The sequence below is a fragment of the Homo sapiens genome, chromosome X, assembly GCF_000001405.40.
Source record: "Homo sapiens chromosome X, GRCh38.p14 Primary Assembly".
NCBI lineage: Eukaryota > Metazoa > Chordata > Mammalia > Primates > Hominidae > Homo > Homo sapiens.
The window spans coordinates 81,473,889-81,498,998 of NC_000023.11; the positions used below are offsets into that span (position 1 = coordinate 81,473,889).

The following is a 25,110-nucleotide window of genomic DNA, read 5'->3' on the forward strand; positions in this document are numbered from 1 at the left end:
TTAACACTTTTTCCTTCATTTCAACCTTGGTGAGTCTGACAATTATGTGTCTTGGGGTTGCTCTTCTCAGGGAGTATCTTTGTGTTGTTCTCTGTATTTCCTGAAGTTGAATGTTGGCCTGCCTTGCGAGGTTGTGGAAGTTCTCCTGCATAATATACTGCAGAGTGTTTTCCAACTTGGCTCCATTCTCCCCATCACTTTCAGGTACACCAATCAAATGTAGATTTGGTCTTTTCACATAGTCCCATATTTCTTGGAGGCTATGTTCGTTTCATTTTACTCTTTTTTCTCTAACCTTGTTTTCTCACTTTATTTCATTAATCTGATCTTCAATCACTGATACCCTTTCTTCCACTTGATCGAATCAGCTATTGAAGCTTGTGCATGTGTCACGTAGTTCTTGTGCCATGGTTTTCAGCTCCATCAGGTCATTTAAGGTCTTCTCTACAGTGTTTATTCTAGTTAGCCATTCGTCTAATCTTTTTTTCAAGGTTTTTAGCTTCCTTGCGATGGGTTCAAACATCCTCCTTTAGCTCAGAGAAGTTTGTTATTACCTATCTTCCGAAGCCTACTTCTGTCAGCTCATCAAAGTCATTCTCCGTCCAGCTTTGTACCATTGCTGGCTAGGAGCTGCAATCCTTTGGAGGAGAAGAGATGCTCGGATTTTTAAAATTTTCAGCTTTTCTGCTCTGGTTTCTCCCCATCTTTGTGGTTTTATCTACCTTTGGTCTTTGATGTTGGTGACCTACAGATGGCGTTTTGGTGAAGATGACCTTTTTGTTGATGTTGATGCTATTCCTTTCTGTTTGTTAGTTTTCCTTCTAACAGGTCCCTCAGCTGCAGGTCTGTTGGAGTTTGCTGGAGTTCTACTCCAGACCCTGTTCGCCTGGGTATTACCAGTGGAGGCTGCAGAACAGCAAATATTGCTCCCTGATCCTTCCTCTGGAAGCTTCTTCCCAGAGGGGAAGCCGCCTATATGAGGTGTCTGTCAGCCCCTTCTTGGAGGTGTCTCCCAGTTAGGCTACATGGGGCCAGGGACTCACTTGAGGGGGCAGTCTGTCCTTTCTCAGAGCTCAAATGCTGTGCTGGGAGAACCACTGCTCTCTTCACAGCTGTCAGACAGGGACGTTTAAGTCTGCAGAAGTTGTCTGCTGCCTTTTGTTCAGCTATTCCCTGACCATAGAGGTGGAGGCTAGAGGCAGTAGGCCTTGTTGAGCTGTGGTGGGCTTCGCCCATTTTGAGCTTCCTGGCCTACTCAAGCCTCAGCAATGGCACATGCCCCTCCCCCAGCCAGGCTGCCGACTCACAGATGGATCTCAGACTGCTGCACTATCAGTGAGCAATGCTCCATGGGTGTGGGACCTGCTGATCCAGGCACGGGGAGAGAATCACCTTGTCTGCAGATTGCTAATACCTTCAGAAAAGCACAGTATTTGGGTGGGGAGTGTCCCGTTTTTCCAGGTGGTCTGCCAAGGCTTCCCTTGGCTAGGAAAGGGAAATGCCCCGGCCCCTTGTGCTTCCAGGGTGAAAAGATGCCCCGCCCTGCTTCAGCTAGCCCTCCGTGGGCTGCACCCACTGTCCAACCAGTCCCAGTGAGACGAACCAGGTGCCTCAGTTGGAAATGCAGAAATCACCCATCTTCTGTGTCGATCACACTGGGAGCTGCAGACCGGAGCTGTTCGTATTCGGCCATCTTGGAAGGTATTTGTGTATCATCTTTTTAATCCCCTTTTTATATTCTTTAAGGATTTTCTTCTGTCCTGCATAATGGGTGAATTCCTCAATACTATCTTCCAGTTTTATAATTCTCTCTTTAAGGTCTAGTCAAATGTTTACCTGTACATTAATACTCGTTTATAATTACTAAAATTTTTCTTTCTAATATTTATAATAGATTAATATTCATGTCCTCCTTGTTTTGTTTCTGCCTCCTTGTTTTGTTATTCTTACTATAAATTTTAATTATTCATTTATCTCTAGGAGTCTCCTAAACACACATATTTTAAAGTCTTTTAAGACTACTCAATTATTATTATTATTTTTTAGCTTTTTGAATTGGAGATATTTTTCTCTTTTTTTCCTCTCTATACCTCTCCCTTTCTAGCAGTTAGAGAGAGGTATAGAGTTACTTACCTTTACTTGGCTCCCTGGTATCTTCAGTCTATAACAGTACGTCTTAGTTTGTGCTTTTCCAGAACCAAACTTTAAAGCAAAGATTCCAGTTTAAATTGTTTATTTTGGAAGTAATATTTTAAAAATATTGCAATGGGAAGGAAAAAGTGAGGTGGATAAGGGAAAGTAGCCAAAAGGGTTTATTATTAAGCAAATTATCACTTCACTGCAGGTTAATAAAACATAATTCTTCTGAGGAATACTAAAACCTAGTGTAAAATATGGACCTCAGATTTAAGCCCCTGAAGAATTAAGGGAGCTGAAGTATTTATTCACCAGTTTCTGTCATACATTCATTGAGGGCTACCCTGAAAAAAGTTAATTCCTTCACATTTCTGGCTTACTGCATGGGTGACAAATAGGGTTTAAAATGCCAGAGAAAACCTGCAGGCAGGTAAACTATATATATATACACACACGCACATATATATGTGTGTATATATATATATGTATGTATGTGTACATATAGTATATATATGTGTGTATATATATAGTATATACACATGAGTATATATATATATATATATATATATATATATATATATATATATAAAGTGTAGCTTCCCTGTGGGAGACTAATTTCTAAATCCACTTCCTGATTTTGAGTTCAGAGAGCAGCAGGTCATTGCTTTAGCTTTAGCTTTACTTATTGGTGTTTCTTTCTCTTTATTGATGATCCATAGAGAATATTTTCTTGTTTTTTTTGGCTTTAATGTGCCTTTTATTCTCATAATTTCTATTTTTATCTAACATTATTATGCATTTGATGCAGAGTCTGCCCCAAGGATAAACTTTAAATGCCTTCTCAATTGGAGGTCTAAACCTTCCGTTCTGCCTTCTAAATCCAATTCTACCAATTATGAGTTCCTGTTTGGGGTGAAAAGTTTTGGAATAAATGGTAATGATGGTTTCACAGTGTTATGAAGGTAATTAGTGCCACTGAACTGTACATTGAAATATGGTTAAAATGGTTTTATCTTCAAGATGGTTTATTGGGGGTTTTATTAATGTGCCTCATCCACTTAGAGTAAAATAGAGTGTGAAGATTCACACTGTAAACTTTCATCGGAGAAGAAACACAGGTGCCTAACACAAAAAATGAAAGAAACTTCAGACACATTGCATGGAGAGGTGCGCAGCAATCTCTACCTTGAGAGAGGCAGAAAACTGTGTTTCTAGAGCTTGAAAGGGGGAGAAACTGTCTGCATGATACTTATTCTCACTGGGGAGCTGGGAAATCCAGGCAATGAGGGAGTGAGTGCCTTAACTCTACCCAGTGTTGAAGGTTATTTGGTGAGTAGTGAGGACTACATGAGAAGGAGAGGCATCAATAAGTGTTTTGTGTGCACTCTCATAGCCCAGCAAAGACAGAGAGAAGATATTCCTGATCTGACTCATAGGGGACCTCATAGAATTCTGCCAACTAACTCAAGTGGTGGTCACAGGTTGGCAGCATCTTCCGACTGAGATGTGCAATCTAATCTAGAGTGGGAAGGATTCCTTTAAACAGAATTGAAGGTGAGCAGGAAGCATGCTCTTGCCATGGGTGTGGGTGCTGGGTGCCCCTGTTTTGTGGGTAAATGGGAGGGGCGTGTCCTGAAAGCTGTGGCCTTTTTCCCAGGTGGGAAGGCTTGTGGCCTAGGGAAGTTTTACACTGTAAGCCCAGAACTGCCCAAGACCCAGCTAGCTGTTGCCAGGAGAAGTCTAGGGGCGTGAGATCCACCATATCAAGGACAGGGGAGCAGGGCACGCCTCACTGCTGCTTGTTACACCCCTCTCTCATGCCAATTCTTTTGAGCAGCAGAGGCAGTTTAACTCCTCCCTGGAGCACTACTTCAGTACACAGGAAACTGCCTTCCAATCCCCATTGGCTTGTGTCCACATGTGGGTAGCCAGAATGTGGACTTTCCTCACTCATCTAACATTGCCCCTCAACTGGCCTTTGTAGCATAACACAATAAAAATGACTATTGGGAGGCTCATGGCCCCACTCATCACCTGGAAGATCTGAGTACTTGGCCTGGGTAGCATAAGCCAAGCATAAATTCCACAGCCGCCACTGCCTGGCCCTCTTCGGCAAGCACCATCTCTTGGCCAGAGGTCACCTCACACAGCCCATTACAACATCTGCTGACACAGTAACACAGCACTCAGGAATGAAAAATACTTTGTGCAACCTCAGCTAACACCATTGCCCACACCACCGTGGCTACTCAGGGCCTTAAGCCTATTTATGCATCCAGTACATTACTACTACAGCTAGTAACTGAGAAAGCCACCGCATTAAGGGTATTTACAACTAATGGCATCTTATAGAGTTTATGCCACTCTCCTGCACCACCCATCTGAGGAGATGCATGCACCTGCTACTGGGAGACCAGAGGACAGGTCATCCCAGTGTAGCTCCACACTATATTATCCTCTTCTGGAGCTAAGAACAGAGCTCAAGCCACTACAAGTCCGCCAGACTTGTCCATAGCCTGAGGCATTGGATAGCTTATCCAGGTGACTAACTAGAGACATTGGTGACTAATTATCCTCAGAAGGAAGAACCTATACTAGAAGTGAATAATAATAGCCCAAGCAGAGTGCTAAGGGGAGAGTGCTGGAACCTATAAGAAAGTTAATTGGAAGGATCTATGATACACACAGAAAGAAAGTAAGAAGAAGCTGGCAAAGATCAAACCCTGAGAGACTTCGTATTCTGTGGAAAAGGTAAGTGGGAAAGATGTCAGCCTCTCTAGCCCTTGATTGCTGGTATCCAAACTCAAAAAGAGCTTCTTTGCCCCCACAAGACCAAGTACAGGAGTGGGCTGTGATTTGGGGACTTCTCGAGGGGATTACCTTGCACGTGCAAGTTTCTTTCCCTTTCCTCCTGGACCCAAGCTGTATTAGTGTGCACTATACTGGGTGTGCATGCATCATGGGACTTTGTTCTGCTCAGAGACCTCCAGCCCTTGTGTCTTCTCATTACTGGATCCCTTGCAGACATTCACCAGCACCAGCTTAGATTGCAGCATCCCCAGAGGGCAGCTAGACCCAGAGGAGCAGCAGAATTCACAGTAGTCTGGCCCTTGGGAGATTGGTACTCTTAGGGGAAGAGGGAGTATACCACAACAAGGAAGCACCCCATGGAACAAAAGAAACAAGAGGGCAGGCTTTTCTGTGTTCCAGAACTTCCTGCTTGTGGGAAGTTTTTTTTTCAGCAGAGGCACAGCCACAGTGTTGAGCTCAGTGGGTAAAAGCATCAGTTCTGCCCCAGTAGTCAAGCAGCTCCAGTGCTCAGGAAGGGACTTGGAGCAGGAGACTTCTCCTCCCTCTCACTTACCACTGCAGTCACAGCTGGGGCTTCCCCATGGGAGATCAGCATTGTTGCACCTGTTGACTGCCTTTCTGGGGGCACTTTGAGGTAACTGCATCTTCATGGGAGAAGTGTCCTCTGGGCTCAGGCTTGCATGAAGGGTAGAGAGTCTTACTGCCTCTTTACACAGAATGTTAGCATTTCTGCAGATGGACAAAGGTGCCTGTCTGATTGGAATATCCAGATCACTGGGATAGAAACATGATAGGGAGGCAGATTGCTTTCCTGCTTGCCTGGTAGCAGAGCTGAGGTGGCTCCCTCACTCCACCCTGCGAAGACCACAGTGTATTCCACTGGAAGCCCCCACAGCCACTTCTGTCAAAAATGGGGCTTTTGTCCACCATTGTGTTATTGCATGTACCCACGTGCCTCAGCTGCAGCTGGTTTTCATCCATAGATACCTCCTAATGGGCGGAAGACTAAACTGTTCAACCTAGTGCAAAAAAGCACTGGGAAAAGAAAGTGCGCACCATTGGGAAACATTGTAAGCTTCATGACACCTCTGCAATTCTGGCCTCACAGGAGAGAGTGAACCTGCTCACAACAAGTACATAACTACTACTATCATCATCTGAGAACGTCATCACACAAAGGTTCTCTGTAATTAAGGATTCACACAGTCTTTTCTACTGAAGGCAAACAGAACCAAAGATAGGTGACCGTGAACTAAACATATTGAAGTCACATTCTCAAAAAGGAAAGATCTAGTGAAATAAAAAATAAGTTCAATAATAATAAGAATAAATAATCTACCCAGATGAGAAGGAATGAGAAAAAATAATTCTGGCAATATGAAAAAAAAAACCAAGAATTTTATAACACCCTGAAAAGATCACACTAACTCTCTACCAATAGATTCAAACTAAAATGAAATAATTGAAATACCAGACAAATAATTCAAAATGTGAATCATAAAGCTATTCAATGGTATCCAAGAGAAAACTGAAAACCAACATAAAAAAGTTAAAAATAATTCATATAACCAAAATTAGAGCTGAACTGAAAGAAATTGAGACAAGAAAAACCATTCAAAAGATCAAGAAATACAAGAGTTTTTTGACAATATTAATAAAATAGACCACTAGCTAGACCAACAAAGAAGAAAAGAGAGACCAAATAAACATAATTAGAAATGACAAAGGGGATGTTACCACTGACTTCACAGAAATACCAATAACCATTAGAGAATATTATGAAAAGCTCTATGCACGTAAAAATAGAAAATCTAAAAGAAATGGATGAATTCCTGGACAAATACAACCTCCCATGACTGAGATAGGAAGAAATTGAATTGTGGAAAAGACCAGTAATGAGCTCCAAAATTGAATCAGTAATACTATACCAACCAAAACCCAACCAAACAAAGAAAAGCCCATGACAAGATGAATTACAAATCAACATCCACAGCCAAATTCTACCAAATGTACAAAGAAAATCTGGCACCATTTTCTACTGAAACAATTCCAAAAAATTGAAAAGGAAGGACTCCTCCCTAACTCCTTCTATGAGGCCAGCATAATTCTGATACCAAAACCTGGCAGAGACACAACAAATTAAAGAAAAAAAGAACTTCAGGCCAATATTTTTGATGACTATTGACGCAAAAATCCTCAAGAAAATAGTGGCAAACTGAAACCAGCAGCACATCAAAAAGTTAGTCCAACACAATCAGGTAGTCTTTGTTCCTGAGATGAGAGGTTGGTTCAACATATTCAAATCAATAAATGTAAGTCATCACATAAACAGAACTAAATACAAAAGTACATGATTATCTCAATTGACACAGAAAGGGCTTTCAATAAAATTCAAGAGCTCTTCAGGTTCAAAACTCTCAATAAACTAGGTATTAAAGAAACACACCTCAAAATAATAAGAGCCATCTATGATAAACCCACAACCAACGTCATACTGAATGAGCAAAAGCCAGAAGCATTCCCCTTGAAAACTGGCATAAGACAAGGATGCCCTCCCTCACCACTCTTATTAAACATTGTACTGGATGTCCTGGCCAGGCAAATTAGGCAAGAGAAAGAAATAAAGGACATTCAAATAGGATGAGAGGAAGTCAAACTATTCTTGTTTTCAGATGACATAATCCAATATCTACAAAACCCCATAATCTCAGCCCAAAAGCTCCTTAAGCTGATAAACAACTTCAGCAAAGTCTCAGGATACAAAATTAATGTGCAAAAGTCACTAGCATTTCTATACACTAACAACAGTCAAGCCAAGAGCCAAATCAGGGAAGCAATTCCATTCACAATTGCCACAAAAATAATAAAATACCTAGGAGTACAGCTAACGATGGAGGTGAAGGATCTCTACAAAGAGAACTACAAAGCACTGATCAGGACCGGGCACAGTGGCTTATGCCTGTAATCCCAGCACTTTGTGAGGCCAAGGTGGGCAAAGCACTTGAGGTCAGGAGGTCGTGACCAGCCTGGCCAACATGATGAAACCCCATCTCTACTAAAAATACAAAAATTAGCTGGGCATGGTGTTGCGTGCTTGTAGTCCCAGCTACTCAAGAGACTGAGGCAGAAGAATTGCTTGAATGCAGGAGGTGGAGGTTGTAGTGAGCTGAGATCCCGCCACTGCACTCCAGCCTGGGCAACAAGGTGAGACTGCATCTCAAACAAACAAGCAAACAAACAAACACTGCTCAAAGAAATCAGAGATGACAAAAAATGGAAAAATATTGCATGCTTATGGATAGGAAGAATCAGTACTATTAAAATGGCCGTAGTGCCTGGGAATGGTGGCTCATGCCTGTAATCCCAGAACTTTGGGAGGCCAAGGTGGGCGGATCATGAGATCAGGAGTTTGAGACCAGCCTGACCAATATGGTGAAACCCCATCTCTACTAAAAATACAAAACAAAACAAAAAAAATTAGCTTCGCGTGATGGCATGTGTCTCTAGTCCCAGGTACTGGGGAGGCTGAGGCAAAAAAATCACTTGAACCTGAGAGACGGAGGTTGCAGTGAGCCGAGATTGTACCACTGCCCTCCAGCCTGGGCGACAGAGGGAGACTCTGTCTGAAAAAAAAAAAAATTACCATAGTGCCCAAAGCAACTTCCACATTCAATGCAATTGCTATTAAACCACTAATGACATTCCTCACAGAACTAGAAAAAAAAAAGAGCTATATTAACATTCACATAGGACCAAAAAAAGAGTCTGAATAGTGAAGAAAATTTTAAGCAAAAAGAGCAAAGTTGAAGATATTATGCTACTATTATGCTACTCCGCTTCATGCTGTCCTATGGTAACCCAAACAGCATGGTACTGGAAAAAAAAAAAAAAGGCACACAGACCAGTGGAAAATAATAGAGAGCTGAAAAACAAGGCTGTAAACCTGCAACTATCTGCTCTTTCACAAAGCTGACAGAAACCAGCAATGGGGAAAGGACTCCCTAAACTATAAATGGTGCTGGGATAACTGGCTAGCCATATACAGAAGATTGAAATGGTGCCACTTCCTCACACCATATAAAAAAATTAACTTAAGATGGAGTAAATACTTAAATGTAAAACTTAACACTATAAAAACCTAGACAATACCATTCTGGACATAAGAAAGAGCAAAGATTTTATGACAAAGACAACAAAAGCAATTGCAACAATAACAAAAATTGACAAATGGGATCTAATTAAATTAAAGAGCTTCTGGACAGCAAGAGAAACAATCAATAGAATAAACAGACAACCTACGTAATATGAGAAAATATTTGCCAATTATGCATCTGACAAAGGTCTATTATCCAGCATCTATAAGGAATGTAAGCAGATTTACTACAATAAAAAAGAAAAAACCCTATTAAAATGGGCAAAGGATATGAACAGACAATTTTTTAAACAAGACACACATGTGGCCAACATGCATACAAAAACAAAGCTCAACATCTCTGATCATTGGAGAAACGCAAATCAAAAGTGCAATGAGATACCATCTCTCACCAGTTAGAATGGCTATTATTAAAAAGTCAAAAAATAACATGCTGACAAGGTTGTGAAATAAAATAAATACTTATACACTGTTGGTGGGAATGTAAATTAGTTTAATAATTGTGGAAAAGAGTGTGGGAATTCCTCAAAGACCTAAAAACAGAAATACCATTCAACCCAGCAGTCCCGTTACTGGGTATATACCCAAGGGAATATAAATTGTTCTATCATGAAGACACATGCATGCATATTTTCATTGCAGAACTATTCAAAATAACAAAGACATGAAATCAGTCTCAATGTCCATCAAAGGTAGAGTAGATAAAGAAAATGTGGTACATACACAATGGAATACTATACAGTCATAAGAAGAGATTATATTATTTGCAGAAACATGGATGGAGCTGGAGGTCATTATTCTTAGCAAACTAATGCAGGACTAGAAAACCAAATACCACATGCACTCACTTATAAGTAGGAGCTAAATAATGAGAATACATGGACACATAGAGGGAAATAGCTGACACCGAGGCCTGTTGGAGGGTTAGAGGACGGAGAGGGTCATGTAAAGAACTGAGTACTAGGCTTAATAGCTGGGTGATGAAATAATCTGTACAACAAACCTCCATGACATAAGTTTACCTATAAACAAACTTGCACAAGTACCCCTGAACTTAAAAGTTAAATAAAAAAGATTTAAATATATAAAGATTTCACATACAAATGTAGATTTCTGCATAAAAAATAAAAAAGTAATTTGTAATATGAATGAAAAATGTTCTTGACATAGACATTTTAAGAAAAACAAACAGAACTCTGGAAATGAAAGACTCGGTTATAGAACTACAAAATATAATGGAAAGTTTTAACAATACACTAGACCAAGTAGAAGAAAGAATTTCAGAGCATGAAGACAAGGCTTTTGAATCAGACAAAAATAAAGAAAAAAGAATGAAAAGAAGTGAACAGTCTCCAAGAAATATGGGATTATGTAAAACATCCAAACCTAAGAATCATAGGTGCTTCGGAGGGGGAAAAAAGCTTGGAAAACATATTTGAATGAATAATTAAGGAAAATGTTCATGGCCTTGCTAGAGACTTGATATGCAAATACAAGAAGCTGAAATAACTCCTGGGAGATTCATAGCAAAAAGGACATCATCAAGGCATATTGTCATCAGATTATCTAAAGACAACATGAAGGAAATAATTCTAACAGCAATGAGACAGAATAATCAAATAATTTACAAAAGAAAATCTATCAGACTAACATCAGACTTCTCGGCAGAAATCTTACAAGCCAGAAGGGCTTGGGATCCTATATTTAGTCTCCTCCAATAGAATAACTGTCAGCCAATAATTCCATATTCAGTCGTATTAAGTTTTGTAAATGAAAGAGAAATAAAATATTTCCCAGTAAAGCAAATGCTTAAGCAATATGTCACTGCTAGGCCAGCCCTGTAAGAAATGCTCAAAGGTGTTCTAAACATCAACCTCAAAGGTTGATACACACCTGTATATAAATACATGAATTTCAAATTTGAAAACAAAGCTGTTCTTTTATGAATTAAGTACAAATTAATCACTTCATCTAGCCATTTCCATGATACCTGCAGATTCATCATTTCTCTGGATCAAGGCCTGAGTCTCAGCCTGAAGGACATTATGTTAAGCAAAATAAGTCAGTTACAGAAAGATAAATACCACATGTTCTCACTCACATGGGAACTGAAAACATTATTTTTGAGTTCACAGAAGTAGAGAATAGAACTGTGGGTATAGAGGCTGGGAAGAGTAAGGAAGAAGGGAGCTTGGGGAGATGTTGGTTATTGAATACAAAATTACAGCTAGATGGGAGAAATGCACTCTGATATTCTGCCAAACTGTAGGGCAAATGTGGTTAGTTATAAATTACTCCATATTTTCAAAAAGCTAAGAGAGGATTCGGAGATTTCCCATTACAAAGAAATAATAAATGTTAGAGGTGATGGATGTGCTAATTACCCTGATATGATCATTATACATTGTATTCATGTATCAAAATGCATGAATAAAATACTACTCTGTATGCCATAAATATGTACAATTATTACATGTCAACTGAAAGTAAAGAGTAAAAGGAATAAATCAACCAAAAATAAAAATGCCTGCAAGTATGAAACTCTCAGGGCTTATGTGACAGCAGCACAATGAAGAAAATAAAGCAACTAGGTAACAATCAACATGATGACTGGAACAGTACCTCACCTTCTCAATATTTTCTATGAATGTAAATGATTTAAGTGCCCCACTTAGAAGATATAGATTGGCAGAATGGATTAAACATACTCACACACACACACAAACCAAACATCTGTTGCCATCAAGCAACCCACCTAACACGTAAAGTTTCTTTTAGATTAAAGGTAAAGAAGTGGGAAAAAAAAATTCTGTGCAAATGGAAAATAAAAGTGAGTAGGAGTAGCTGTTCTCGTATGAGGCAAAACAAACTGTAAATCAACAGCAGACAAAGAAGACAAAGAAGGCAATTATAAAATAATATAAAGTCAAATAAGGTCATTATATGATGACAAAGGGATCTATTTCAGAAGAAGATATAACAATCCTAAATATATATGCACCTAATACCAGAGCTCACAGATTCATAAAACAAATACTATTAGACCGTAAAAAAGATATAGGCAGCAATACAATAATAATGAAGGAGTTCAGCATTCCATTAACTGCACTAGAGAGATCATTGAGGCAGAAAGTTAACAAATAAATACTGGACTTAAACTGGACTCTAGAACAAATGGACCTATCAGGAATTTACATAATATTCTACCCAAAACCTGAAAAAGATACATTTTTCTTATCAGCACATGGAATATTCTCCAAGATAGGCCATATGATAGGCCACAAAACAAGTCTCAATACATTTTAAGAAAATCAAAATTATGTAAAGTATCTTATCAGACCACAGTGAAATAAAACTAGAAATCAATTCCAGAAGGAACTGTCAAAACTACGCAAATACATGGAAATTAATCTGCTCCTGAATACTCTTTTGGTCAATAATAAAATCAAGATGAAAATTTACACAATTTCCATAATTTATGATAACAGTAACACAGGTTATAAAAATCCCTGGGATAGAGCAATAACAGTGCTAAGAGGAACATTTATACTGCTAAATTCCTACATCAAAGAAACAGAAAGATCACAAATTGACAAGGTAATGTTGCACCACAAGGAACTAGAGAAACTACGACAAACCAAACCCAAAGCTAGCAGAAAAGAAATAGCAAAGATCAGAACAGAAATAAATGAAATTGAAGAGAAAATTACAAAGGATCAATGAAATAAAAAGTTGTTTTTTTTGAAAAGGTAAAATTACCAGACTACTATGTAGATTAAGCAAGAGGAGAGAAGATTCAAATAAGATCAATCAGAAATGCAAATGGAGACATTACAATGGATATCACAGAAATATGAAAGATCATCTGAAACTACTATGAACACTTCTATATAAAGAAACTATAAAATCTAGAGGGAATGAATACATTCCTTGAAATAAACATCCTCACAAGCTTGAATCAGGAATAGATAGAAATCCTGAAAAGACTAACAGAAAGCATAGTGATTAACTCTGTAATAAAAAATCTCCCAACAAATAAAAGCCCAGTACCAGACACATGCATAATTGAATTCTACCAGACATTTAAAGAACTTACACACAAAAGCTATATGATCAATTTAATAGATGCAGAAAAAGCATTTGACAAAATCCAAAGTTCCTTCATGATAAAAACCTTCAACAGACTAGGCATAGAAGGAACATATTTCAAATTAATAAAAGCCATATATGACAAACCATCAGCCAACATCATACTGAATGGGGAAAAGTTGAAAGTATTCTTCCTATGATCTGGAATAAGGCAAAGATGCTCACTTTCACCACTTCTGTTTAGCATAGTAATAGAAGTCCTAGGCAGAGCAATCAAACAAGAGAAAAAAATAAAGGGCATCCAAATTGGAAAAGAGAAAGCTAACCTATCTCTGCTTGTTGATGATATGATCTTATACCTGGAAAACCCTAAAGACTCCTCCAAAAACTCTTAGATGTGATAAATGAATTCACTAAGGTCTCAGGTTAAAAATATATGTATACAAATCTGTAGCACTGCTATAGACCAATAATGACTAAGATGAAAATCAATTCAAGAACTCAATTCCATTTACACTAGCTGCGAAAAAAAAAAAAAAACCTAATATACGTAACCAAGGAAGTGAAAGCTCTCTACAAGGAGAACTACAAAAACACTGCTGAAAGAAATCAGAGATGTTACAAACAAATGAAAAAACATTCCATATTCATGGATTGGGATAATCAACATTGTTAAAATGACCATACCGCTCAAAGAAATACACACATTTTATGAGATTTCTATTGAAACATCAATGTCATTTTTCAGAGAATTAGGAAAAAATAAGTTCTAAGATTCGTATGGAACCACAAAAGAGCCCAAGTAGCTAAAGCAATTCTAAGTAAAAAGAACAAAGCTGGAGGTATTCCATGACCCAAATCAAAATTATATTATAAGTTTATAGTAACCAAATATGCATGGTACTAGTATAAAAGTAGATACATAGACCCATGGAAACTAATAGAGAACCTAGAAATAAAGCCCAACATGTATAGCAACTGATCTTTGACAAAACAGACAGAAACGTACACTGGGAAAATAACTATTCAATAAATGGTGCTCAGAAAATTGAATAGTCAGTGGCAGAAGAATGTAACTGGTTCCCTATCTCTTACCATATACAAAAACTAACTCAAGATGGATTAAAAACTTAAATCTAAGACCTGAAGCTATAACAAACCCAGCAGGTAACAGGAAAAGCTTTTCTGGATATTGGATTAGGCAAATAATTTATGACTAAGACCCCAAAAGCAAATGCAATAAAAATAAAGAATAAAGAAGCGGGAATTAACTAAACTAAAAAGCTTCTGCACAGCAAAAGAAATAACAAGAAAATAAATAGACAACCTACAAAATGGGAGGAAATATTTGCAGTCCATATATCCAACAAATAACTAATATCTAAAATCTATAAGGAACTCAAATCAGCAAGAAATAAATGAATAATGTTATTAAATAATAGGCAAATGTCATGAATAGAAATTTCTCAAAAGAAGATATACCAATGATGAACAAACACATGAAAAAATGTTCAACATCACTAATGATCAGGGAAATGCAAATTAAACCACAGTGAGATAAGACCTTACCCCAGCCAGAGTGACTATTATTAAAAAGTCAACAATAGATGTTGGTGTGGATTTGCTGAAAGGGAAACGCTTATACACTGTTAGTGGAGTGTAAATCAGTACAACCTCTATGGAAAACAGCATGGAGATTTCTCAAAGAACTAAAAGTAGATCTACCACTCAACCCAGCAGTCCCACTGCTCGGTGTCTACCCAAAGGAAAATAAGTCGTTATATACAAAAGACAACTGCACATGTATGTTTATTGCAGCACCATTTACAGATGCAAAGAGTTGGAACAAACTTAAATGCCCAATAACCTATGAGTGGATAAAGTGTGCGATACACACACACACACACACACACATATATATACATATATACACACATATATATATACCTATGCACACATATATATATACATATATATGATGAAATATTACGTAGTCATAAAACAGAATGAAGAAATAATATGTTTTGCAGCAACGTAGATGGAACTCGAGGCCATTAACCTAAATGAAGTAACTCAGGAATAGAAAACCGAATACCACAGGTTCTCACTTAAAAATGGGAGCTAAGCTATGGGTACATGAAGGTATACAGAGTGGTACAATGGACACTGGAGACTGAGAAGTGGGGAGTTTGGGAGCGGGGTGAGGGATGAAAAATTACCTGTTGGTTACAATATATACTATTCTGGTGATGGGTACACCAAAAGCCCAGACTTCACCACTAAACAATCCACCCATGTAATGAAAAATCACTTGTACCCCTAAAAATATTTAAATAAATTTTAAATAAATTTAAAATTATTTTAAATAAATTTTAAATAAATTTAAAATTATTTTAAATAAATTTTAAATAAATTTAAAATTATTTAAAAATTTTTTTAAAAAATTTTAAGATGTGCAAAGGAAAAAATGTAAAGTGGCAAAGTTTATGTAATATATATTTTACTACAAGAAAGAAATCACCTGTGAAATTTTCTACACCTTTTTGTTTTGTTTTGTTTTGTTTTGTTTTTGGCCAAAGTCTACCTATTGCTCATCTCTAATATCATCCCTGGATAATTAATCTCTGTTTAGCTCTCAAGTTTGACTCTTAATATTTGCCTTAGTTCCCTTTTTTTCTGATCCCAGTGTTGAGCCCTCGCCATTCTGCCTCCAGGGTAATTATGACACTTGGCTTTCTTCTCACATAATTGTAGCTTAGCATTCTAACCAAAGCCCTGAAGAATCAAACAAACAGTACTATTTCCTACCTAACATTCCCAAGAGGTAGAAGGAATCAGACACTTACTTTGTGCCACTACTGCTTGTTATGAAAATCATTCCTTTTTGTATCAATAACACTATCTTGAAATATCTGCTCCTGTGCCTTTATTCCCTATTAGCTATTAAGTTCTTGAGGACAGGGAAAATAAATTCAAACATTTCATAAATAACTAAGTTTATACATTTTGATTTTTTTCACAGTGGGTTTTATTTTAGACTTTTTATAAACAAGAAAATAAAATGAAATACTTAGAACCTCTTCTGATTTTCTGATTTTCACCACAAGAGGGAACCATCAGAATTTATATCACAGAGGACAAAAAAAAAAAAAAAAAAAAATTGAAGCCAAGGCTGTGAGAATTGAGACAATTTTCAATAGTACTCAAGTAAATAAATACTGAATAAAAATTTATTATGTATTTCTTGGAACAGAAAAAGGGACTTGAACTTTCGGTGTTCTAGGCCTGTATCTCCTGTTTTAAATTAACACCATGTTTGTTTTTCAGGGGATATTTTGTAGGACAGATCAATATAGTTTTATATAAAATGTTTAAAGTAAATATTGAGTGTTTCAAAAAGTAAAACACACTTATTGTCAGTCTCACCAGAAGGATCTTCATAGTTACTGTTTTTAAACTTTTTTTTATTATTCTGACATCTAAAACAGAAAATCCTTAAAACTTTCTCACAAAATGGGACCCTATGAATTATCACCAATTTTCTTAGTTTAGGAAAATCCAGAAAAGCTAAAAAGCTGCCTCTTCCAAATGTTTAGAAAGTGAAATGCCTTTTTATAACTTTAATGAAGGCATTATTAATTTGAATGGTCCAATCAGATCATATCAACTGATATTTATTTCTTTCCTTTTTTTAACCATTGAACAAGTAATTATTGAATGCTTATCAATTGCAAGGCACTACTTTTAAAAGACACAGAAAGATAAATACCAGATGATCTCACTCATATATGTAATCTTAAAAAGTTAATCTCAGGGAAGTACGGTAGAATGGTGGTTACAGAGGCTAGGGTGGTTAGGAGGAAGGGGAGGTAGGGGAGATGTTGGTCGGAAGATAGGAAGAATATATTCAAGAGATCTATTGTACAACAAGGCGACTATATTTAACCATAATATACTGTATTCTTGACAAACGCTAAGGGAGTACATGTTAAGTGTTCTCATCACAAAAATGAGAGCAATGTGAGGTAATACATTACTAGCTAGATTTAACCATTAGTCAACTTATGTAAGCTTCAAAACATCATGTTGTACATGATAAATATATACAGTTTTATCAAAAGGAAAAAAATGAATTAAATAATATAAAGGCACAAAGAAATAACTTACCATTCTAGAATTCCTTGGATTCCTGACCTTCTGCTAGTTCTGCTTTGCCATTCCTCATCTTTGGGAAATACTCATTTTGTGCATATATACCTGGACCTCTCAAAGTTGCTCAAAAATGTCACAAAGCTTATATCTTTGTTCCATTACAAACGCATGCCATTTAAAATATAATAGCATTTTTTGCAAAGAAATAAGACTTTTTAATAATAAAGTCCATAAGCTGATGACATGAGGGCCAGATTTGACCTACAGACTTTCAAATTTTGGATTTTTTGCCTAACAGTCCGAATGTTCTAGTTTTCCTAAAAAAGAAAATTCTGGCAGCACTGAGTTTCTAATTAATTAATGACAACAGTTGGCAGGAGTTGAAAAGTCATTGTAACCTTTAGATAGAACATTGTCTTTCTAATATTTCAGTTCCAAGAAATATCTACTGGATGATACTTGAGTCACTTAGCTCATTTTTATGACTATTCTGGCCATTGTAAGCTGTTTACTGTTCTCTAGTTTATATGTTGTCTCAGTATACCATCAGTGGCCAGTCCTCTCAAGATGATAACTCAGCACTCTTAACCAATGACCAATATCTTTTTTAGGAAATGAAGGTGAGATATCTAAAATAGGCAAATTCATAGAGACAGACAGTAGATTAGAGGTCACCAGGGGCTGCGGGTAGATGATGGTAGTGAGGAGTTATTACTTAATGGTTATGAGTTTCTGTTTTGGGTGGAATAAATGTTTTGGAAACAGATAGTAGTTATGGTTGCAAAATGTTGTGAAAGTAATTAATGCCAAAAACTGTACAATTAAATATGGTTAAATTGACAAAGTTTATGTAATGTATATTTAAATACAATAAAGAAATCATCTCTGACCAACAGCAAAAGAAAACTAGGTATGAGCTCATATTGCTTCTTTCTTGTGCACCTCTGTGTTCAATTGTCCTTTTCTCTTTTTTGTCCATTTTACAGATAGTGCGGCAGATCTCACCAAAACTAGAGGCTGCTCAAATTGTGGTAGATCCCATCCATACAAGTATCCTCCTTGCTGCTCCCATGTAACCTAAAGGCAGCTCTCACCAACCTAAGGGGTGGCACAGGCAAGAACAGAAACACATATCAAAGTCAGAACAGGTTAAACCCGCAATCCTTTGTTAGTTCTCTCATCAATAATAGACTTCTTAAGATCAGTAAGTTCTACCCATGATTGAACTTCTGGTACCCTTAATGGCCAGCTAAAAGATAATGCCTCTCTAAAACTATTTCCTCTGTATTATTAACTCCCTATGACACTGCACACACCCTTACCTCAGCTCTTTTCAACACTACCACTGGCCTTCATCCCTACCATTCTACTGTTCCTTTGTGAACAAATCTCTTTACATTCTAAATTCTTATCACAGAATAATTTCTCTTCCTTTGCTTTAAAAAACATTGTTCTTTCACAGGATAAATAAAAATATTCCCTAGTGGATGCTATCTTTAATTTCACCATTCATATGGAATTGGACTGTGATGTGGAGATGGGATTCTCTTCACGTTTCAATAATTATTCTTTCCCTTTTATGTAAGAAACATCTCTTATCTTGATGTTTATACCACTTGATGATGTCAGTGCTATGCCCCTTTTTATAGTGCCTTGTTTGGAATGTAGAGGGTGGAGTAAAAGGAGATGTTAAAGATAAACTCTTCTATTTACTTTATCTTAAAGAATGGGTTACCATTATTTATCTAACCACTCACTTATGAAGATCTGATGTGATACCTTCTTTTCCCTTACTTTTATGTAATTCAATTAATTGCAAAGTAAAGGTTTTTTTTTTTTTTACCACTAAAGGTACATGTTGAATCCTATGACTTTTTCTATCATATCAGGAAATTTGTAATAATGCCACCATGATGCATTGCTTCTAATACAGAGTCCTTATATTTTTATCAATGTCTCTAATCTCAATTTATTCTATTTAACTATATACTGTATTCTTTCTCTTTAACTCAAAATATGTTTAACTCTATTCTAACTTTAGAATTATTTCACTTCATCCTTATGTTGTCTTTTTATTCACAGATTCAACAGATATTATTGATCATCAACTATAATCTAGGCACGGTGACAAAAACTAAGCTTGATATCTTTATCTCTTTTCTTGTTTTTCTTATCTGATACCTAGATTTGTATTTTATTCATTTTTTAACCTTTCATTTTTACACATATTGTCTTATTAATACACTCATTTGTTTCAATTATTGTCTTTAGGTATGTGACTCCATATCTATACGCAGCTCTTCTCTTGAGTTTCATGCTGTCATTTCAAAGTCCCTGCTTAATAACCTGCTTGGATAGTCTCAGAGAAACTTCAAGTAAAATATGTAGTCTGAATCAGGTTGATTGCCTGATAAAACAAATAATAATTTCCTAGATTCCAAATAATTTTAAAATGTTGGAACTATCAGACCAAAACTTTTACTTATTTATTTATTTATTTTTTTGCAGATTGACGAGGTAGACATTTATTTCTAGCAATTATCTGAGAATGTATAGGGTAGTGACAAGATATTCATTTACTTGTAGCAATTACCCTACATTTGTTGGCTGAAATAACTTTATATACTTAAAATTTTTTTCTCTATGTTTATTGTTCTTAAAAATTGCATTGAATTTAACTAACTGGAATGTCAAATTGTTGATGATACACCTCAGAGGATAAGCATTGTTGAGGTTGGAATAGGCATGAATCAAGAATTAATTCTAGTCCCTAATTTCCATGCAGCATAGAACTTATAGTTCATTGAATTCATTATAAATTAGTTTCAGTTTCTCCTAACACTGTTGATTTTATTTTGTGATGGAACTCTTATAATATGTAAATTATTATCATGATTTTGAGTATATTTTCTTTATGAAACTTTTATTTATTTCTACTTTTATTTTCTTCTACTTTTATTTTGGGTTCTTGGGGGTACATGTGCAGGTTTGTTACATGGGTAAATTTTGCGTTGCTGAGGCTTAGTGTATGAATGATCCTGTTACCTAGATAGTAAGCGTAGTATATAATACGTTGCCTTCCAGCCCACACTCTTCTCCCACTCTCCCCTCTCAAGTAGTCTCCAGTGTTTATTGTTCCCATATTTGTGTCCACGTGTATTGTGGTATTCGGTTTTCTCTTCCTGCATTAGTTCACTTAAGATAATGGCCTTCAGTTGCATTTTTGTTTACGCAAAGGACATGATTTCATTTTTTGTGATTGTGTAGTATTCCATGGTGTATATGTGCCACATTTTCTTTAACCAGTCCACTGTTGATGGGCATCTTGGTTGATTCTATTGCTGTTGTGAATAGGGCTGTGATGAACATATTAGTGCATATGTCTTTTTGATATAATTATGTATTTTCTTTTGGGCATATATCCGCCAGAGGGATAGCTGCTTGGAATGGTAGTTTTGTTTTAAGTTCTCTGAGAAATCTCGAAACTGCCTTCCACAGTGGATGACCTAGTTTACATTTTCACCAGCAGGATATAAGTGCTCCTTTTTCTCTCCAACCTCGCCAGCATATGTTGTTTTTTGACTTTTTAGTAATAGCCATCTTACTAGTGTGATATTCTATCTCATTGTGATTTTGATTTGCATTTGTTGAAATGTGATTGACACACAAATGCCATACATATTTAATGTATATACAACTTGATAAGTTTGGAGATAAGGATACACTTGTGAAGTCATCACCACAATCTATGTCATAAACTTATCACCTCCAAAAACCTCCTCCTGCTGTCTTTACTTATTATTATTATCATTAGTATTATTATTGATAATATAAGAACACTTCACATAAGATCTAAACTCTTTGCAAATTTTTAAGTAAACAATACAATATTGCTAACTATAGGCACTATACTGTACAGTTAATCTCTGTAATTTATTTATCTTGTGTAACCAAAACTTAATACCCTGTAACATAACAGCTATTCTGTGTTCCATGAGGTAGAGGTAAACATACTTGCCATAAATAGAAAGATAGACGTTATCGGAGAAAATATAAAATATAATACAAGAACAAAATGGAATATTTAGAACAAAAAGTTCAATATCAGCAATTTTAAAAATTGACATAGGAAAGAATCAGGGAAACTAAAAAGAAAATTACTAGATCACCAGAAATTATCCAAATTGTAAAAGAGAGAATAATAAAAATTGAAAAAATGAGCAATGGGACTTGTGGAACACTATCCAAAAGTAATTAGAATTCTAGAAGAAGAGAAGGAGATTGAAGTGGAAAATTTATCTGAAGACATAATGACCAAAAACCTCTCAAATGTAGGGAAAAGCATACATTCACAGATTTAAGAAGTTCAACAGTCTTCAAATAGAATAAATTCAGAAGAGGCTATGTCTATACACATCACAATTAAACTGCTGAAAACCAAAGCTAAAGAATAAAACCTTTAAATCTTCCCCCCAAAATAATAAATTACACACAGTGGAACAAGAGTTCAAACATTGTAGAAGTCTCATCAGAAACTATGAAGTCCAGAAAACAATGGAACAAAATCTTTGAAGTTAAAAAGAAAAAAAATGTCAACTGTGCATTCTATTTTCCTAGCACATCAGGAATGAACAATGGCATTTTCAGATGAAGGAAAACTAAGAGATTTCATCACGAATAGAGCTACTCTACAAGAAATACTAAAGTTATTTGTGAATATCAAAGAGAAGCTTGAATCTTCTGGAAGGAAAGAAGAACAACTGAAATGGTATTTATCTACCAAACTATAAAAGACTATTTTCTCTTAAGTTCTTAAAATATACACAACTTTGTAAAGTAAATATAACATAGTCTGGTGTGGTTTTCTGTGTATGAAAACATAATTTTTTGACAATTGTAGCAATAACATCAATAAAGAGAAACTAGTTGCAAGATTTCTACATTTGGGGTTAAATGGCACAATATTAACTTTAAGTAGACTGTGAATTGTTAAGTATGTTTATTGCAAATCATCAATCAACCACTGAAAAACCACACACAGGGTTATAGTAAACAGGTTCATATAAAAATAAAAATAAAAGTATCCAAATATTTTAAATATTTAAAAAGAAAATAGAGAAGGAAAAATAGAGGAATAAATAAACATAAGAGACACAGAGAAAATAAATAATACAATGGTTAGCATGTTCTCACTTATAAGTGGGAGCTGAACAATAAGAACACATGGACACAGGGAGGTGAACAACACCTACTGGCCTTTGTTGGGGGCAGGGGGAGGGAGAGCATCAGGGAAAGTAGCTAATGCATGTGGGGCTTAATACCTGAGTGATGGCTTGAGAGGTGCAGCAAACCACCATGGCACACGTTTCCCTATGTAACAAACCTGCACGTCTTCCACATGTATCCCTGAACTTAAAGTAAAATACAAATTTTTAAAAAAGATTTATAGTTGAAACCTCTGTTAAGCCTTGTAGTTAAGCAAGGCTGATAATCCCAGCAGTCAAAAGGACAGACTGTTTTGTCTATCTGGTTTATTCCTGTATTCCCAGAGCCTACGGGAATATGATATATTCAATGTTAAATAAATGTTGACTAAATGACATTTTTGTTACTCCAATAATAATAATAATAATAATAATAATAATAACAACAACATGATGGTTAACCTAAAGTAAAAATATTACTATTTAGATTACATTTTAACGGTCTAAACCACGTGTGTTCAACATTTTTTCCCTGGGCCACATTGGAAGAATTGTCTTGGGCCACACATAAAATACACTAACGCTAACAATAGCAGATGAGCTTAAAAAAAATCTTGCATAAGTTTAGTTGTATCTATCACCATAGGTAAGCAAAAAAAAATCTTGCATTCAAAGGGTTGGACACCCGTGCAAACACTTAATTAAAAGGTTGCCATTGACAGAGTGGAAAAAAGCAGTACTCTACTATATCTGTCTCTAAGAAACACACTTTCAATATAAGTATATAAATAGATTAAAGGTAAATATAGAGAAATGATGTCTTACAAATATTAAGCATAAGAAAGCTTGAGTGATATTTTAGTATCAGACAAAATATATTTCAAGACAAAGCAGGTTACCAGAGATAAAGAGAGACACTTCATAATGATAAATATGATGATGTATTAGGAAGCCATACAATTATAAATGTGTATGTGCATGCTGAAAACAGAGCACACTAAGATAGAATATTTGCATAACAGATATTAGACACAAGACTTGTGTCTGCAATATGTAAATATATCTTTCTACTCAATAAGAATACAAACCATCCAAAAAGGAAATGGGCAAAATATTTGAATACACGATGCAATCATGAGCCAAGTAATAAATTTCAGCCAAAAATAGACCACATACATGACAGTGGTTCCATAAGACTATAATAGAGCTGAAAATGTTCTTATTACCTAGTGACATCCTAACCATTGTAACATCACAGCACAATGTATTACTCATGTGTTTGTGGTGATGCTAGTGTAAACAAATCTACTGCACTGCCATTGATATAAAAGAATAATATAAAAGTTATGTATATATATAACACCTGATAATGATAACAAATGACTGTTACTGGTTTATGCATTTATTATACTATATTTTTATTGTATTTTAAAGTGTACTCCTTCTATTAATACTTATAAAATAAATTAACTGTGAACCTTCTCAGACAGATTCTTCAGTGATATTCCAGAAGAAGGCATTGTTATTATACAAGAAGAAAGCTCCACAAATGTGATTACCCCTGAAGATCTTCTTGTGGGACAAGATGTGAAGAGGGAAGGCAGTTATATTGAATATCTTGAACCTGTGTAGGCCTAAACTACTATGTGTGCTTGTGCCTTGTTTCTAATAATAAAAGTTAAAAAGTTTAAAAAAATAAAAATTAAAAATAGCAAACAAATCTTATAGAATAAGGGTATAAGTAAAGATATTTTTGTGCAACTGTACAATGTGTTTGTGTTTTCAGCTAAGTGTTATTACAAAAGAGTCAAAAGTTAAAAAAAATAAAAAGTTTATAAAGTAAAAAAGTTGCAGTAAGTTAAGGTTAAGTTATTATTGAAGACAGAAACTTTTAAAATTTAGTCTGGTCTAAGTGTACAGTGTTTATAAACTCTACAATAGTGTACAGTAATGTCCTAGGCCTTCACATTCACTTACCACTTACCAATTGACTCATAGCTACTCCCAGTCCTATAAGCTCTATTCACGATGGTAAGTGCTTCATGCAGGTGTATCGTTTTTTCACCTTTTATACCATATTTTTATTGTATTTCTTCTATGTATAGATACATAAATATTTACCATTGTGTTAAAATTGCCTACAGTATTTAGTACAGCAACGTGCCATATATGTTTGTATTCTAGGAGCAATAGGCTATATTATGTAGCCTGGGTGTGTAGTAGGCTAAACTATCAAAGTTTGTTTAAGTACACTGTATGATGTTCACACAATGAAAAAATAGCCTAAGGATACATTTTTCACAATGTATCCCTATTGTTTAATGACACATGATTTATACATAAAAATATATATAAATAGCCAATAAACACAAGAAAAGATGCTTAAAATCATTAGTCATTAGGGAAATGTAAACCAAAATCACAATAAGATACCATTACCTGTCCATTAGAATGTCCAAATTTTTCTTTTAAAGATCATTCCAAATTCTGTCAAGGATGAAAAGGAACACTGATACACCGTTTATAAAAATGTAAACTGGTACAGTGACTTTGGAAAACAGTTTG

The 25,110-nt window shown here is 35.7% G+C and overlaps 1 long non-coding RNA gene across 2 annotated transcripts; it reads left to right on the top strand.

Moving 5' to 3' along the window:
- The first annotated feature begins 1,643 nt into the window (after window positions 1-1,643).
- On the top strand, window positions 1,644-24,408 carry LOC105373285 (uncharacterized). 2 transcript variants are annotated; one of them, XR_007068281.1, is made up of 4 exons: window positions 1,644-1,701; window positions 3,530-3,690; window positions 4,716-4,887; window positions 24,032-24,408. It is a non-coding gene; the product is annotated as an uncharacterized LOC105373285 (long non-coding RNA). The 2 variants fall into 2 exon arrangements; XR_001755907.1 differs by lacking the exon at window positions 1,644-1,701 and adding an exon at window positions 2,782-3,098 and having other exon boundaries at window positions 3,530-4,887.
- Window positions 24,409-25,110: the final 702 nt, after the last annotated feature.